This window comes from Homo sapiens, chromosome 14 (genome assembly GCF_000001405.40).
Source record: "Homo sapiens chromosome 14, GRCh38.p14 Primary Assembly".
In the NCBI taxonomy this organism is placed as follows: Eukaryota; Metazoa; Chordata; class Mammalia; order Primates; family Hominidae; genus Homo; species Homo sapiens.
In genome coordinates this window covers 92,985,609-93,000,990 of record NC_000014.9, presented here as the reverse complement: position 1 = coordinate 93,000,990, position 15,382 = coordinate 92,985,609, and the positions used below count along the sequence as shown (strand labels likewise).

At 53.9% G+C, this 15,382-nt stretch overlaps 1 protein-coding gene across 6 annotated transcripts in view, besides 2 other annotated features; it reads left to right on the top strand.

Annotated features, from left to right (window-relative positions):
• The window catches only part of ITPK1 (inositol-tetrakisphosphate 1-kinase), a 179,012-nt gene that overhangs the window by 114,935 nt on the left and 48,695 nt on the right, over nucleotides 1-15,382 (top strand). For all 6 annotated transcript variants that reach the window (NM_001142593.3, XM_047431351.1, NM_001142594.3 and 3 more), the window contains one exon: nucleotides 6,994-7,111. In NM_001142593.3, coding sequence (NP_001136065.1) covers nucleotides 6,994-7,111 — 118 coding nt within the window. The remainder of the gene's footprint in view (nucleotides 1-6,993; nucleotides 7,112-15,382) is intronic.
• Nucleotides 1,706-2,220: an enhancer, noted in NCBI's record as "H3K27ac-H3K4me1 hESC enhancer chr14:93465116-93465630 (GRCh37/hg19 assembly coordinates)". NCBI's record gives its function as "activates a minimal SCP1, AML or CMV promoter by ChIP-STARR-seq in primed H9 embryonic stem cells {active_cell/tissue: H9 hESC(primed)}" and the evidence as "EXISTENCE:reporter gene assay evidence [ECO:0000049][PMID:30033119]".
• Nucleotides 6,796-7,478: an enhancer, noted in NCBI's record as "H3K27ac-H3K4me1 hESC enhancer chr14:93459858-93460540 (GRCh37/hg19 assembly coordinates)". NCBI's record gives its function as "activates a minimal SCP1, AML or CMV promoter by ChIP-STARR-seq in naive H9 embryonic stem cells {active_cell/tissue: H9 hESC(naive)}" and the evidence as "EXISTENCE:reporter gene assay evidence [ECO:0000049][PMID:30033119]".

The window sequence follows — 15,382 nt, the reverse complement described above, 5'->3', positions numbered from 1 at the left end:
TTTTTTTTTTTTTTTTAGTTGGAGTCTCACTTTATCTCTCAGGCTGGAGTGAAGTGGAGTGGTGCAATCTCAGCTCATTGCAACCTCTGCCTCCCAAGTTCAAGTGATTCTCCTGCCTCAGCCTCCTGAGTAGCTGGGATTACAGGTGTGCACCACCATGCACGGCAATTTTTGTATTTTTGCGGGGGGTTTTGCTATGTTGGCCAGTCTGGTTTCAAACTCCTGACCTCAGGTGATCCACCTGCCTCAGCCTCCCAAAGTGCTGGGATTACAGGCGCAAGCCACCGCGAGCCACAGTGATATGTCGAGTTCACTAACGTTTAGCTTTCAGGTGCTCCCTAGCCTTTCTGGAGATGCACAACAGTTCAGTCACAGAGCCTGTTTCTGTAGGTGACCAGGTGCACTGCAGTGGCCTGGCGTTTGACACTGGAATGGCTGATTTTGAATCCTGGCAAAGCCCCCCAGCTGGTTGTGTTTGACCTTGAGCCAGTCACATTGCCTCTCAGAAACTTGGTTTCTTTATTTATAAAATGGGAATAAAAACAGAGACGTTTTGCTCTGTAAACCATGGGGCTGCTCTGAGAATCAAATGCAATATTTTGTGTCACTGCCCTTGTTGAACCAGAAAAGTGCTACACTTGTATACTGTGGTGGATCATTATGACTATGATTTAAAACATCCATGCCTGAGGAGCCAAATCCTGGGGTCTTTTGTATTTTCATTTCAATTTATACACCCAAGAGAAGTGAAAACGTATGTTGACACAAAAATTTATACACGTATGTTCACAGCGGCATTGCTCCTAACAGCCAAAAAGTGGAAACAACCCAAATTCCTTCCAATGATGAATGGATAAACAAAATACACTACACCATGCCGTGAAGTACTATTTCATCTTAAAGAAGAACAAAGCACTGCCGCACGCTGCAACATGGATGCATTTTAAAACACGATGTGAGCAAAAGGAGCCTGTCATGAAGGACCACACATCACATGGCTTCGCTTGAAGGAAATGCCCAGAATAGGCAGATCTACCCAGACAGAAAGTAGATGTGTGGTTGCCAGAGGCTGGGACTTGGGGCTGAGAGTGAAAGGGAATGGGATTTCCTTCGGATGGGATGAAAACGTTCTAAAATTGAGCTGATCGTTGCACAACCCTGTTAATATTCCAAAAGCCCTTGCTTTGGGGTAAATTGCATCGTATGTGAATGATATCTCAATCAGGCTGTTTTTAATAAAAATCCTATGAGGTAGGAACAAGTACAATCTCCATTTACAGGTGAGGCCCGGGCTTACAATGAGGAAGGCCCAGTTAACTGGGCCTGGCGGCCTCCAGCTCCCTGGCATGCAGTCCCTTCATGCCATCAGCCCTCACTCTACAGAGAAGGGAGCTGAGGCCCAGCAAGGAGGAGGGGTTTCCAGGCTCTGTGTGGGGTCTTTTCCTCCCTTCCAGCCTCCCCACCCACTGGAGGAGAGATTTCCTAAGCAGCGTGTGGAGCAGGACCTTCCCAGCCCTGCCATGGTACCCGCTCGGCGCTCAGGCCATGCAGCCCAGTGGGCAGAATTTCAGCCCCTGGGTCCTGAGTGAAGGAAGGAGCAAGCTGTTAGGACGGGCAGGGCCGGAGCCCGGGACTTTGTCTCTGACCAAAACCTCTCAGAGTCTCAGGGTCCTGAGAAAAATGGGGAGAAACCCTGCCACCCTCTCTGTGCTGTGGGGGACCCGCAAATACGGGAAGGTGCTGCGAGACCTGCCAGGACTTGCCTTGTGCGCAGCCGTCCCTGCTGGCTTAGGGGTCAGTCCGGGCCCCTGGGCCTCTGCCAGGCGGGTCACGCACAGGCTCTCCTCAGAGCACAGGCCTAGGGCAGATGGGGGCTGGAACTCACAGAGGTTTCCAGTTTCCATGATGTCCACTTTATCTGTTTCTTTTTCTGTCTTGTGCTTTTGGGGTCACATTTAAGAAACTGTTGTTTAATCCAAGGTCACGAAGATTTATGACCGTGTTTTCTTCTAAAAGTTTTATAGTTTGGGCTTTTACCCAATAGCGTTTTTATATTGAAAGAAGCAGTGTGCATATAGCAAGTCCCAGGTAAGTGGCCACTGCCTTTATTTTTAAATGATTACTGATGATGATCATTTTTATTTATTATTATTATCCTTACTATAATTAATCTCTCGTTGTCTTTCCCATCTGGGTAGCTGGCTCTTATTTCTTCTTGAAAGATAGTATTGGTGTTTGAATCCATTTCTGGCACACTTAGGGGTGCAGGGTAGAAGGGGAAGATCTGATTACCTGCCTCCCATTTCCCCCCAAACTTTGTGTTATGGGAAATTAAAAATATTTGAGAAGAGAGAATGCCGCAACGTGCTCCCAGGTGCCACCTCCCAGCCTCATGCGTCAGCAGCTGCAGCCACTCTCATTTCATCCGTCCCTCACCTACTTCTGTCCCTGCCCCCAACCCGGATTGTTTTGAAACACATCCCAGATTCCTATTTAATCTGTGAGTCCTTTTTGAGTTGCATCTCTGAAAAACGAATCCCTTGGAAGGTCGCTGCCTGGAGCCTGGGCTGCCGGTGGGGTTGGGAGGTTGTGTTGCACCCCAGGCATCAGCAGGAGGGTGGGCATGGGCCAGAACCACAGCCCCCTTCCATGGGCACAGCTGGCTCCTCTGGGGTCGGCTGCACAGGGCAAGGCAGGGTGAGCCCAGAAACCTTGCGTCAGGTTTAGCCCTAGGAGCCCAGGTGTTGCAGGGTAATGAGAATCCTTTCATTTTTGTGTCTACAAACTCCTTTTGCATCCATGATCTCCATGATGCCCACAGCAGCTGCCTCCGGTAGGCTTTATTCAGAATGGACCTTACCCAGGATGAGTCTCAGAGGGTTAACTCCAGACACAGAATCAATGTCAGAGGCAGAATCTGGACTCAGGACTCTGACAGCATTTTCCATTAGAAGGAGCAAATCCCTGTGTCTCACTCCCTGCTCATTTCCTGCCTGTGAGGATCGAGGAGGAAAGAGTATCTCTGACGTTCATCTCATTCTGCTCAGATTCTCAGTGGCAGCTTAGCAAAGGGCCAGTTGTCTCTGTTGGCATCATTCCATGGGCTTGGGGCCTCTGAAAACCCTGAGAGAGCTTGCGCTGTAGGTGGGCACCGTGACGCTCTGCCCCAGGTGTGTTCCAGCCCTCATCCTGGCAGGGGCTGAATGTTTCTGCCTAGAGCCAGGCTGCCCTTGTTAGCTCCAGGATCCCACTCTTGGTGTCCTTTAGCTGGCAGGCCCTGCGAGGGAACATGTGCTTACAATTTGCCATGGAGACGGCGCTGCCCTTCTTCCTCTGAGTGGTGATAAAATGGTACGGAAGCTCACCCACCCAGCAGATTGGTAATTCTAAGAGACTTGTGAAAAATACACGAGGCCCTCAGTATAATAGGTAAGCTGGAAAGCTTGGCACAAAGTCCGCTTGTGGATAGTGAGGTGACTGGAAAAATTCTTTGCCCTCTCTGTTCCCATCCCAGAAGAGATCGTGTTTAGGAAGAATTCTTCTGTTAATGCTGATGCTTTCATCCCCAGTCAAAAGCTAGTTGACGCCTGCTTGTCAGATGTTTTCCCCTTTGGTTTCATGTAGCCGCTTTCCCTCATGAGTTTGGCTTAACTTCATGTCTTAATGAATCTGAGTTCTCTCTTTAAAGGTCACTGTCCTAACGCATAAACATGGAATCAGAATCGCCCTCATTTATTCAGAGCTGAGCGGAGACTTTTCTTGGGACTTCGAGGGGAGGAAGGAGCACATCTGTGTTCTAAGTGGCCTCGGTTGCTGAGGGAGAATTGGGTCATCCCATCCACGTGCTCGGCTGTTGGCCCCCTTTTGGAAGGAAGGCAGCGAATGCGTGGGTGGCCCTCCCGTTACCTGGAATGCCTCTAGCTGGTGGTCCATCCCGTTCTAGAATGGCTCCCCTGTGCAGCCTTCAAGTTTACCTTTACAAATACACTCTCCATTTTCTCAGTCTGTTTACACCCTTGGAACCAGAGGCCATCTTTACAGAGACCCTAAGGGCATCTGGAGTATTCTTCATGTCACAGATGAGGAGACTGAGACTCTGAGAAGCCAAGTGACTTGCCCAAAGGTGACTCTGAGAGGTGACGACATCGGGCGCCTGGGTTTCTTGACTCTAGGTCACATAGCCTTCCCACTACACCAGGCTGCTTCCTGGTGTGTTTAGGGGAAGGGAGTGAGGACAGCCAAGTGCCTTTAGCTCATAACCGAGGACATGAACTTGCTAGCCAGGACTATAGATCTGGCGGGGTGAAGCGGAGAAGGCTTTTGATCATCTGAGTATCTGCTGCACCCCACATAATGCCCTGAGCACTGTCAGTGATGTGAAGTCTCTTGAGTGGATGACCTTTTTTTTTTTTTAAATTTAAGTTCTAGGGTACATGTGCACAACGTGCAGGTTTGTTACCTATGTATACATGTGCCATGTTGGTGTGCTGCATCCGTTAACTCGTCATTTACATTAGGTATATCTCCCAGTGCTATCCCTCCCCCTCCCCCCACCCCGCGACAGGCCCCGGTGTGTGATATTCCCCACCCTGTGTCCAAGTGTTCTCATTGTTCAATTCCCACCTATGAGTGAGAACATGCAGTGTTTGGTTTTCTGTCCTCGCAATAGTTTGCTCAGAGTGATGGTTTCTAGCTGAGTGGATGACCTTTTAATGTTGACATTTATTTTTCTTTATTTTTTTTGGAGACAGGGTCTTACTCTATTGCCAAGGCTGGAGTGCAGTGGCACCATTGTGCATTGCTGCAGCCTCAATCTCCTGGGCCTGAGTGATCCTCCCACCTCAGCCTCCCAAGGAGCTGGGACTAGGGGCTTGTGCCACTGCACCCAGCTATTAATGTTGGGCTGTGAATATGATTTCATACATATGTGTGAGTCTCGGCGGGGAGGGCCTCATGCATGACCTGCTCTCTTGGAAGCATGGACTGCATTTAAAAGAACAAGCTCTGATGACGGAATGGTGCCAAGAGGGGTAGTTGCCCATGGAGAGCTCCCAAATGAGACGAGGGATCAGGTGTAGGTGCTTGGGTGAGGCTGAGACTGTCAGGAGAGAGGCACTGGGTGTGGCTGCTTGGCCCCAGGGCAGCTCTAGATAAAACCTTCCTTAAGGAGACTCCTCGGTTAGTCCCCAGGCTCCATGTGGGCGGCAGACTTGGGCTCTCCCGCATCAGTGCCTGGTTCACTGTCTACAGGCAGTGGGTTGGTGGCCAAATGGCTTGCTGACGGCTGGAGGGTTCTGCCCCGCATCTAGGTCCTCGCACTTATGTGCAGGGAGAGGATGGCTAAGGGGTGAGGAGAGTCACAGGCGTGAGGACTGGAATGCGAGGCCTCCCCTAGGTTACGCCGGCCACCACTGAGGCCAGAGGAAGTCTTTAAACATTCAGACAGAAAGGAGCCCAGGGCCAGATACTCTGCCGCGAAATCCAAGGAGAGGCTGATTTCAGAGCAGAAGTGGGAATATGAGTCTCTGGTTTTTGTGTTAAAAGTGGCTTTTGGCTTAACAAGTGGTCACTAGGACCAAAATAAGTTCACTTAAGAAAAATAATTCCAAATGGCTCTTTCTCTCTGTCCATAAGGCTCACTAGGAAGGCAGCACTGGGGTGTGTTTCCCCAGCCTGTGCAGGCCTCACTGACGGGCTGTGGAGTGGGTGAGCAGAGGGCAGGGGGGCTGGCTGGGCGGAGGAATCACGCTGGCATGTCTGCTGCCCCCGGCTCTCACAACCAAGTATCACAAACAGGGAGGCTTTTAACGCTGCAGGAATCTCCCAGCCCAGGGGGCCAACAGCTCCAGTCAGGGCGTCAGCAGTGGCTCCCTCCGGAGGCCCTGAGGGCGAAGCTTCCCTGCCCCTCTCCCGGCTCCCAGTGGTGGTGGTGGTGGGCACCTTCCACCCTCCTTGGCTTGTAGGTGTGTCACTGCAGTTGTCTGTCTCCACACGGCCTCCTCCCTGCGTCTGTGTTCAGATTTCTCTCCTAAGAAATCCAGCCAGGGGATTCAGGCCCACCCATATGGTGTGGTCCACCCATATGGAGTCCTAACTCTGTTCCATCCACAAAGACCCTGTTTCCTTATAAATAAGGCCACGTTCACAAATGCTGAAGGGTTAAGACTTGAGAGGACACAATTCAACCCGCAGCAGCTGGTTGAGGCCTTCTTCAGGCCAGCTTTTTCCCTGAGACCCCCACATCACACCAGCATTCCAGTTTTGTCCTTAGAATCATGGAGGTTGGGAGCAAGGGTGGGCTCCTTCGCTATGTCAGCTCGGGTTGGTCTGGCCCACCTGGGTGGCGTGGGGTTCTGCCCATTATTTTATTGAGTTCTGTTCTGGACAGCAGTGTCTTCCCCCCATGTAAGTTAGGGTTATTCCCCTAAGAAGATAGTAAGTTCCTTAGAGACTGGTTTTTGTCACGGTTTCTCTTGCATTTCCTTCGTGCCTACCCCAAAGCTAGTAGGTACAGAAGTGGAGTACTTGAGGAGTGTTGGGTGGCTGGTGCCCACCCTGTGGCGTGTTTCTCTCCACCACACCTTCCCGCAGACCCTCTGATGACTCCTGGCCTCATCCCACTCTCCCGCCCCTGCCTCAGAGTCCTTATCAGTGCGGGGCATGGGGCCGCCACTCCCAGAGGAGCCAGTGCCTGGAGTGGATCTGCTTCCGGGTGAGGTTTTATCTGGAGTCAGGCGGCCTGCCCTGAGCCTGGTTGCAGTTTCCTCTCTGTCTTCTGTGTGGTGCTCTATTTCTGAGTTTGGCCTAGTCAAGCCTCTCTCTCAGATCTCCAGGTGACTGCTCGAAATGTCCCAGTGCTGGAATGCACCACCCTCCACCAAAGCTAGGGCTGGAGGATAGGACAGGAACGGATGGACGTGCAGAGGGCGCGAGGGGTGAGTTGCTACCTGGCCCTACCCCTGCTCTAACCAGAGCAGCATGCTTCCCTTTCAGGAGTACATCGATGCCCACCCTGAGACCATCGTCCTGGACCCGCTCCCTGCCATCAGAACCCTGCTTGACCGCTCCAAGTCCTATGAGCTCATCCGGAAGATTGAGGCCTACATGGAAGGTAGGGACACGTGTGGCACCACATCCGTGGCAGGCAGCCACCTTTGTGGTCACAAAGTGGCCACGGCCTGAGGTGTGGAGACAGAGGGGTCTTGTCTTTTTAAGCACTTTGGGGCAGGAAGCATTTGAATTCCATGGTGCAGTCATTCTGGGGAGGTCCTTTCATTCTCCTGTGACCAGCAGTGAGGAAACAAAAGCCTCAGGGTGCTCTTGCGGAAGGGGGCTCTGAGGGTTTTGTTTTGCTGTGTTGAACCCATGGGTGACATTGAAGTGTCCCGGTAACACAGTGGCTGGAGAGCAGGAGTGTGTGTAGACAGCTCAGTGGCAGGCAAGCAAGTGGAGTTACGTAACTGCGCGGAGGACACAAACAGAAACTGAAGGCCTTTAATCAAACACGTGGAGATGTAATGTGGCTGCTGGACCTCATGGGTCCACTCTGTTCTGGAGGGCAGGGGCCTCCCTCTTCACTGCGGCGCCTCCCCTGCCAGCTGCAGGCTCCTGTCCCTGAGGGCTCACCCTGACGCCTCCCCACCCCTTGGGCAGGCAGAGCCAGAGAACTCAAGGCCACATTCTCAAGGTGTTTATGTGAGAAAGACTTTGTGGAGAGATTCATGTTAACAGTAACCTCCTAGTTCACTGCTTAGTCCAAGTGTGCCCTGCTGAGAGCTCTTGTTTAATTTTAAGGAAAAGTGCTTGGCCTGGGCCCTCCGGCTTTGTGAGGATTTATCCTGGGGTCAAGGAGGCAGCCCCTGCTCCCTGCCCTACAGACCATGATTGAGGCCTAACCTGGCTGCCTTGAACCCTGACCTGGATGGTGACTTGGCCTTGGGCATAATTTCCTGTGATGGTGACCGGTGGGACCAGTGGGTACCATTTGGCTCACAGCTCCAGAGGCAGACCATCTGCATGGGAGTCTGAGACCACCATTTATTGGCTATGTGTTGTGTTCCTGCCTTTGGGTTAGGCCTTCTCCTTGTATTCTCCCTTTTGGTACTCTTAGAAGTGGGCATGATAAGCCTTCCCATTTTACAGATGAATCCCAGAGGCTCTGAGAGGTTAGCAGACATGCCACGTCACGCAGCATTCAGGTGGCTGGGCCAGCATCCAGCCAGGTCTGTCTGACTCAGGCTCCCCGGCCCCTATTCCTGAGCTTGACTTTCATGTCCATGGCCAGAGGGCCCTGGATCTAGAAGAACCTGAAATGGGTACCACTGAGGACCCTGGCCTGGAGAGTAGGTGAGTCCTCGGTTCCCTCTCTGAGGAATGTGCCCTGCAGAAGAGCTGGCTGCTGGATTTGGCTGTCCTGGAAGGGCTCCCGAGGCCTCTTTCCCTGAATGCCTGACACACCGCTGGGTGCAGAGAATGGGGGTGTCATGCTGGTGCCCCATGTAGGCAGGCTTTCTTAGCACATGCCAGCAGCCTTTATTTGCTAGGCCTGGAGTGATTGGCCTCTGCTGTGCACTTCATCTCCCTTTGCACTGTCTTCCTGGATCCATCCAGAATCCCAGATGGGAAGAAAGAGCTGTATGTTCCCTCCTGGGGTCACCTTCATCTCAGTCTGCCATGGGTGAAGGTTTGGTAAAATTTGGGAAAGGGAATCAGCCTCTTTCCAGAAGGTGTGCTTGTTGGACACTGCCTGTGTGAAGAGCAGGAGGCTGTATTAGAACATGAGAAGGCCCAGCTAGCAGAAGAAGGTGGCAGACCAGCAGCCACATCTCATGTCCCGGACAAGTCCATTCGAAGAGTGATGGGTTTGGGTGGGATTCGAGGAGGTGCCGCTGAAGGGCCTTTTGGAGCCAAAAGCACAGGCTCTGGCATGTGGGTTCCTGTCTGGGCTCTTGTTAGCCACGTGGTCTCGGACAAATCAGTCATTTGAGTTCTGCTGGTGTTCTGGAAGATATGGGTGATACCTGGTTCAGCCACGGGGTCAGGGGTCAGGATACCTGGGATGATGTCTGCAGAGCACTTAGCATGGGACCGGCCCACTGGGTCACCCGGGAACAGCAGCTGCTCCAGCTGTTCCCACCACGATGGCAGGACCCCAGCATCCTAATTGAGTCTTCACATCCATCTTAGATTTTTAGGAGTAGAAGCCCAGGGCTGGGGATCAAGGGTGAGCCTGGGCTCAGGGTGGGTGTGTGCACGGTGTGTTCAAGGAGCAGGAACCCGGTGATGAGGTGGACCGTAGGAAGTCACATGGTGAGAGGAAGGCCCAGGAGGTACCTCTGTTGCCCGCTCGCCTGGCTTGGAATTGGGCCTCTCCTGGAGGCAGTTAGGAATCAGGTCAGGAATTTTAAGCAGGGTGTGTCCTAGTTCACTGGGAGATTAGAAAGTTTAGGAGCTACCCATAAGGGGAGAGCTGTGGGTGTTCCAGGAGAGGGCCCCGTCCTCAACAGGTCCAGGGAGAGCTGTTGACCAAACCCTAACGCATGCTTGGTTCTAGATCAGCAGGAAGTGTAGGGTGGGTGGGCCATAAATGTTGCACGCTGGGTTTTCCTTATCGTGCACGCCGAGCCTGGGCTTGTATTCTTCCAGGAGGGCGGTCAGAGGCTGGGACTTCCTGGAGCCCTTTCCTGACCCCCAGTGGCTGTCCATTCACCAGCATCGCTGGGTGGGTCCCTGCTGCATGCCCCCACCAGCTGCAGAGGCAGAGAGCCTTCCTGGGAAGCACACCCTGGGCCCCCCTCCTCAACTGCCTGCTGTTCCTGGAGGCACTCAGCCCTTTCAGGCGTACTGTAAATGGCCATAATTACCCTTGAAGTTCCCTCAGATAATCACAGCAATCCAGTGACACGCTTTTGTGCTGGGAGAAGGAGCTTGGTGAGACTTCCTCCGGTTGTCACCCCCCCTGCCCCGGTTGTCACCCCCCCTGCCCCGGCAGTAAGACTGCTCTGTTTTCAGAGACTCTGGACAGCTGCAGGGAAAACAGAGCTGGTGGGGGACGGGTGGGTGCTTCGGGACTGCTAGGATCCTCATTGATGAGCAGTGGGAGGGAGACGACCAGAGCCCCTGCTTTGCGGTGGGGGTGGGCAGTTGGGACATGGCACAAGGGGAGGCTCTCCCAGGAATAGCAGGCAGAGCCCTTGGATAAGGGTCTGTGCTCAGGTGGGCCGTCTGTCTCCCTGCAGAGCATCAGCCGTGGAGGGCCTCTCCCACCCCAGCTCTGCATCCAGGAGACAGATGAGGCCTGCTGCTGGGAGCTCCCAGCATCGCTGTCTCCGGGCAGCCTGTGTGAGGTCACTGCCTTCTCAGTTCCACATTCCCAGAGCTCATTCTTGTCTCATTCAGAGCCTGGAGGGGAAGCAGGGTCATTTCTCTGCCTCGGCTCTGGCAGCTTCAAACCCACCCACTTCGTATCAATTAGCATTCAAGTTGCTTTAACAGCAGACCTAAAATCATGGTGGCTTAAATGCGACAGAACTTCCTTTCTCTCTGATGTAAAAGCCCAGAGGAAGGCCATCCAGCACGGGCACAGGGGCTGGGACCCTGGCTCCTTCTAGCTCCTTATTCTTCTGTGGTCTGCCCATCTGGTCCTGGGTGATGGCTGTATTTCCAGCCCTCACATCCAAGATCTAGACATTAGGATGGAGAGGAAGATCAAGAAAAAGGAAGCAAATGAGAAGAAGGCCTAGTTCTCTTTTAAGGAGGGGTTCTGAAAGCAATCCAGTGACATGTTTTTGTGCTGGGAGAAGGGACTTTGGCCAGAATTAGTCACATCCTAAGCTGCAAGGGAGTCAGGAAATTGAGTCCTTGTTCTGAGCAGCCACATGCCCAGCTACAATTCGGGTTTTATCACCATGGAAGAAGGGCTAGAACGAGTTTTAGGGGAGCATTAGCAGTCTTCCAAGACATGGGTCCCTGCCTGAGGACCCAACTTTCCCATGGCAGAACAACCTTGGAATTTCTCCTCTGGCTGGGGGTTTGGCCTCGGCCTGTGACCTCAGCAGCAGTCCCCTCTTTGTAGCAACCAGCATCCTGGAGGCTTGCAGAATGACCCACCCCAGCATGCCAGGGCCCTACCTTTCCCTCATAGATGACTGCTTCTGGGAGGCAGCCATGCCTATACCCATACCCATGTCCCTCCCCACACCCGCACCCCCTAGGCAGAGGCACAGGCAGCGTTGAGCCTGGATTCAATTCAAACCAAGCACTTAATTCTTCCTAGAAATTAAGCATTCCCTGGTGCAGGCCTCGGGGAGGGAGGGAGGAGGCCGCAGTAACAAACATTGAATTTGCAGGCTCTTTCTCCCATCAGCAGCCCACTCTGCCACCCAGGGCCAGGGTCCAGAGATGGAAGCCCCAAAGCCAAGGCATGGCTGTGCTACCCTAGGGTGAGCGATTCTGGGCACGGCTCTAGCTGGCTCCCAAACTGGCTGAGAAGGCACCATGTATGAGAAGGCACCTGGGCCGTAATTGCATGGCGTGGGTTTGTGTCCCTGTCTTCAGGGACAGCAGGTCTCAGACCATTGGGCAACAGGCTGGAGAGATCCTTGAAAGCCCTGACTGCTTTGGGGTGATGGGTGGCTCTCCTGTTCTTCTTCTCTTAGAAGTTCCCATGTGTCTGCTCTGGGGGTGACAGATGGCCTGTTTGGGATCCCAGGCCTCCCTGGGGATGGGGGGTGCATACCGCAGATTGAATGCTTCTGCCTGTGGTTTTACGGGAATTTAATTAGGGCTCATCTTAGAGGCCATTTGAAACCTGGGTTGAAATTGAGTAGTCTGGATACAAAGCAAAGAGAAAGTAACATTCCTTAGAGCCTGGAGAAATAATTCCCCAAAAAGCTTTTGCCTTGGGGGTGGGTGTTTGTGATTGGTGGGGAGCTGCTCCCAGAGGCAGGAACTGGCTCTCAACCCTCGGGGAGCTGCAGAGGGGTGGGGACTTGGAGTCAAGGCCTCAGACCCTGCCCATTGCCACCGCCACCCCTCCAACCCTCCGCCAATTGTGTGGCCTCTCTGAGCTGTGCGTCTGTCAGCGCTTAGGCAGGTGCTTAGTGTGCCAGGCACTGGGTTAAATACTTTACAGACAGTACCTAATTTAATCCACTTAATGACCCTATGAGGAAGGTTCTGATTTCATCTCCGATTTAGAGGTGAGGATACTGAGGGGCTTTGATCTTAAGTTACTTGAGGTCACAGAGCTAGTGGGGCAGATTTGGGATCAGAATCCACACAGTGTGGGTCTGCTCTTAGCCAGTGGTTCCCAAGCCCTGTCCCTCACCCCTGTGTGTACCCCTTCCACACCCCCAGTTCCCCTGTGGCTGATGGAGAGGGACCGAGGCAAAGATAGGTAGGGATGGGGCTCTGCGCCTGCAGGTGAGTCCTGCCTAGGCTCACCTGGTGCTGGTGGCATGGCCATCATCCCTGGGGGTGCCCTCTGGGGTCCAGGAAATGATACTTGAGGGCAGCCACACATCATGGCAGGAAAGAAGGACCTTGTCGCTGATAAGGCTTCCAATCTTAGCCCCTCGGGGGGCTGGGCCAGTCACTCTCCCCTGAGTTGTTCACTCATCTGGGAAGTGGGTCGCCAGTGCCTCGGACGTGCTGAGTGGGCGTCTCAGCTGGTGGCCCCACCCCAGATCGGGCAGAGCGACCCCTTGGTGTGCACCTGCCCATGCCTCCCCCAGTGTCAGCCTGCCCAGACCACAGGGCTGAGGTGAGGGGACAGCGTGCCCCATCGAAGGGTCTGGAATGAGGGAGGACAGGGTGCCAGGGAGGTAGGGTCTCTCAGGGGAGGTGCTTGGTTTGTGGTTCCCTTTCTTGGACTTCAGGGATGTGTGGGAGCACCACTGTTTTTGTTTTCACATCGGCTGTTGTCTGCCACCCAGGCTGAGACCCGCCCTTTCAGTGCAGGGGAGGCTCCGCAGAGCAGGATTGTGCTTGTGGCTCCCCTGCCCTGGGGCGGCTAAGCGCCAGCTGCAGACCAGGCCGGGTAGGTGCGTTGCCGGCATGAGGCGGCAGCTGGGACCAAGGCTAGCCCTGGTCTGAGTCTGCGTGAGCTGCCGTCCTGGCGTCTGCCGTGTGGAAGCCAGTGCCCTCCCCCAGTCCGGGAGTCATGGGGTGAGGAAGAAATGGTGCCCCAGAGCATGTGGAACCAGGTCTGGCCTGCAAGGGTGGCTCCTCCTGTCCTTGAAGCTGCTCCTTCCCTCAGCTGTAGCGTTCCCCCTTTACAGATGGGGGGTGTGGAACCTTAGAGAGGTTATGGTAACTTAGTTGAGGTTTCAGAGCTGGTGCATCTTCAAGCTGAGCTCCATGTTGATGCCAAAGCTCACCCTGTTCCCTTACAACAAACATCTATTTTACAGCTGATTCTCAGAATCCCTCCCATCTCCCTGCCCTTGGCTGACCCTTCTGTGGGTTCTGCTCCTGTCCTCTGGAGCCAGGGGCCACCTGTGCAGCCATCCAGACATTCACATTCTAAGACAAGACCCTGTCAGCCCCCAGGACCTGGGAATCTCGGAAGCATCAGTCCTGCTGGCCGGGCTCTCAGTTGAGGCAGCAGAGGCCAGGGATGTTCAGGGCAGGACAGGGCCTCAGGGAGCACGCCCCCACATTCACACTGCCCCGTCCCCTTTCCTGCACCCCCACAGCCAAAGCCAGCTCCACATCAGGCCCACAGGCCTACTCGCAGCCCTTTCTGTGCCATCTCCTCTTCCCTGGCCTAGCTGCAGCAGGGGTCCCTGGAGAGTAGTGAGAGCTTCCCCACTCTCCCTCCAGCAGCCTCACCCCTTTGTCCCACCAGGACTGGGGTATGTGCCTGGAGGACAGTGGCCCGGGAGCCTGGATCAGCTTTTCCTGGAGAGGTTGTCAGGTCCAGGCCTCCTAAGGGCACTGGCAGAGATGAAACAGATGCTGGATTCTCTGCCAAGCTCCTCATTTCCACAGCTGTGGGCACTGTGGACAGGGCAGCAGCCCCTGGCATCCTGATGGTAGGCTTGCAGTGACCCCCATGAGAACAGACCCTGCCAGGCATTTGCTGCCCTCTGTCCCTCCTGCCCAGGGCACTGGTCTGGAGGCTCCCAGGAGAGACTCAAAGGAGTGGACTGAGCTCTCATGGCGACTGGCTGGCACCCTGCAGGAGAGATGCACCTTCATCTAGGGAAGAATGTTCCTGTCTGTTCACTCAGAGCTTAACCTTGCTGAGCCTTTAAGACCATGGCAGGGACCCGCTCCCCAGCAAAACAAGAAGGCCCCTCCACCCACAGCCCACCAACCCCTCCAGCGCCCTCCAGCTCAGTGGCTTCTGGACGAGATACCCCACTTGGTCCAGGTGGGCCTGCCCCAGGCCTTCCTGCAGAGCTTTCTGAAAACCTCTGTCCCCTCTCAACCCACAGGCACCCCTCCTCTAGGAGGTACTCTCCCAATGACATCAGCTGGCTCCGATCACTTTTCTAGGGCACTGCTGCTGATCCTAGGCCAGTTGGTGAACAGACTGTTTGTCTTTGGGACTCTGGCTCTCACCCAAAATTCCTTTCCCCTGGCTGTGTTGACTAACTCCCTCCAGACTCCACTCCCAGGCTTTCTTCCCCCTACTCACACTGAGTCTCCTGGCTCCCCTGGGATATAAGCAGGGTACATGGGTACTCAAAACCTCCTTGTTGGTCAGATTGGTCAGAAGGTATCCAACAGCAGCCATTTACACTTTAGTGTGAATTTATAGCTCACTTAGTGTTTTTCCAGCTGAAAGAGATCTTGAGTTCTGGAAGCCCTACAAAAACTGCTCTTCTCCACATCCTCAACAATGAGAATAGAGGCCCAGAGTGGTTGCATGGCTGACCCAGGACCACTCAGCACCTTTCCGACTCTCAGTCCAGTGCTGTCTCCATGGGACCCACATCTCTGCAGGGGTCTTTTCAGAAGCAGCGCCATAGTGAATCTAAAGTCAGACTGCCTGGGTTCAGATCCTCTCCTAAACACCCAGCTGTGTGCATTTAGGCAGGTTATTTAACTGCATTGAGCCCCAGCTTTCCTATCTGTAAAATGGGGAGGGAGGTAATGTTGGTGGCACCTTCCTCATAGGTTGTTGTAAGGATTCCTCAATAGATGGGAGCTCTCCTGGCAGACAGTGCATTGTGAGTTTCAGACCACACCCTGTGTGCTGTGACCCTGTGAGTCCTGTGTTTCTCAACTTGCATTTAGTGCTAAAGGCAGCAGCCCCTGGCGCCCTGATGGTAGGCTTGCAGTGACCCCCATGAGACCAGACCCTGCCAGGCATTTGCTCCCCTCTGTCCATTCTGCCCAAACGCCCAGCCCCGTGTTTGCAAATGTGTACCTG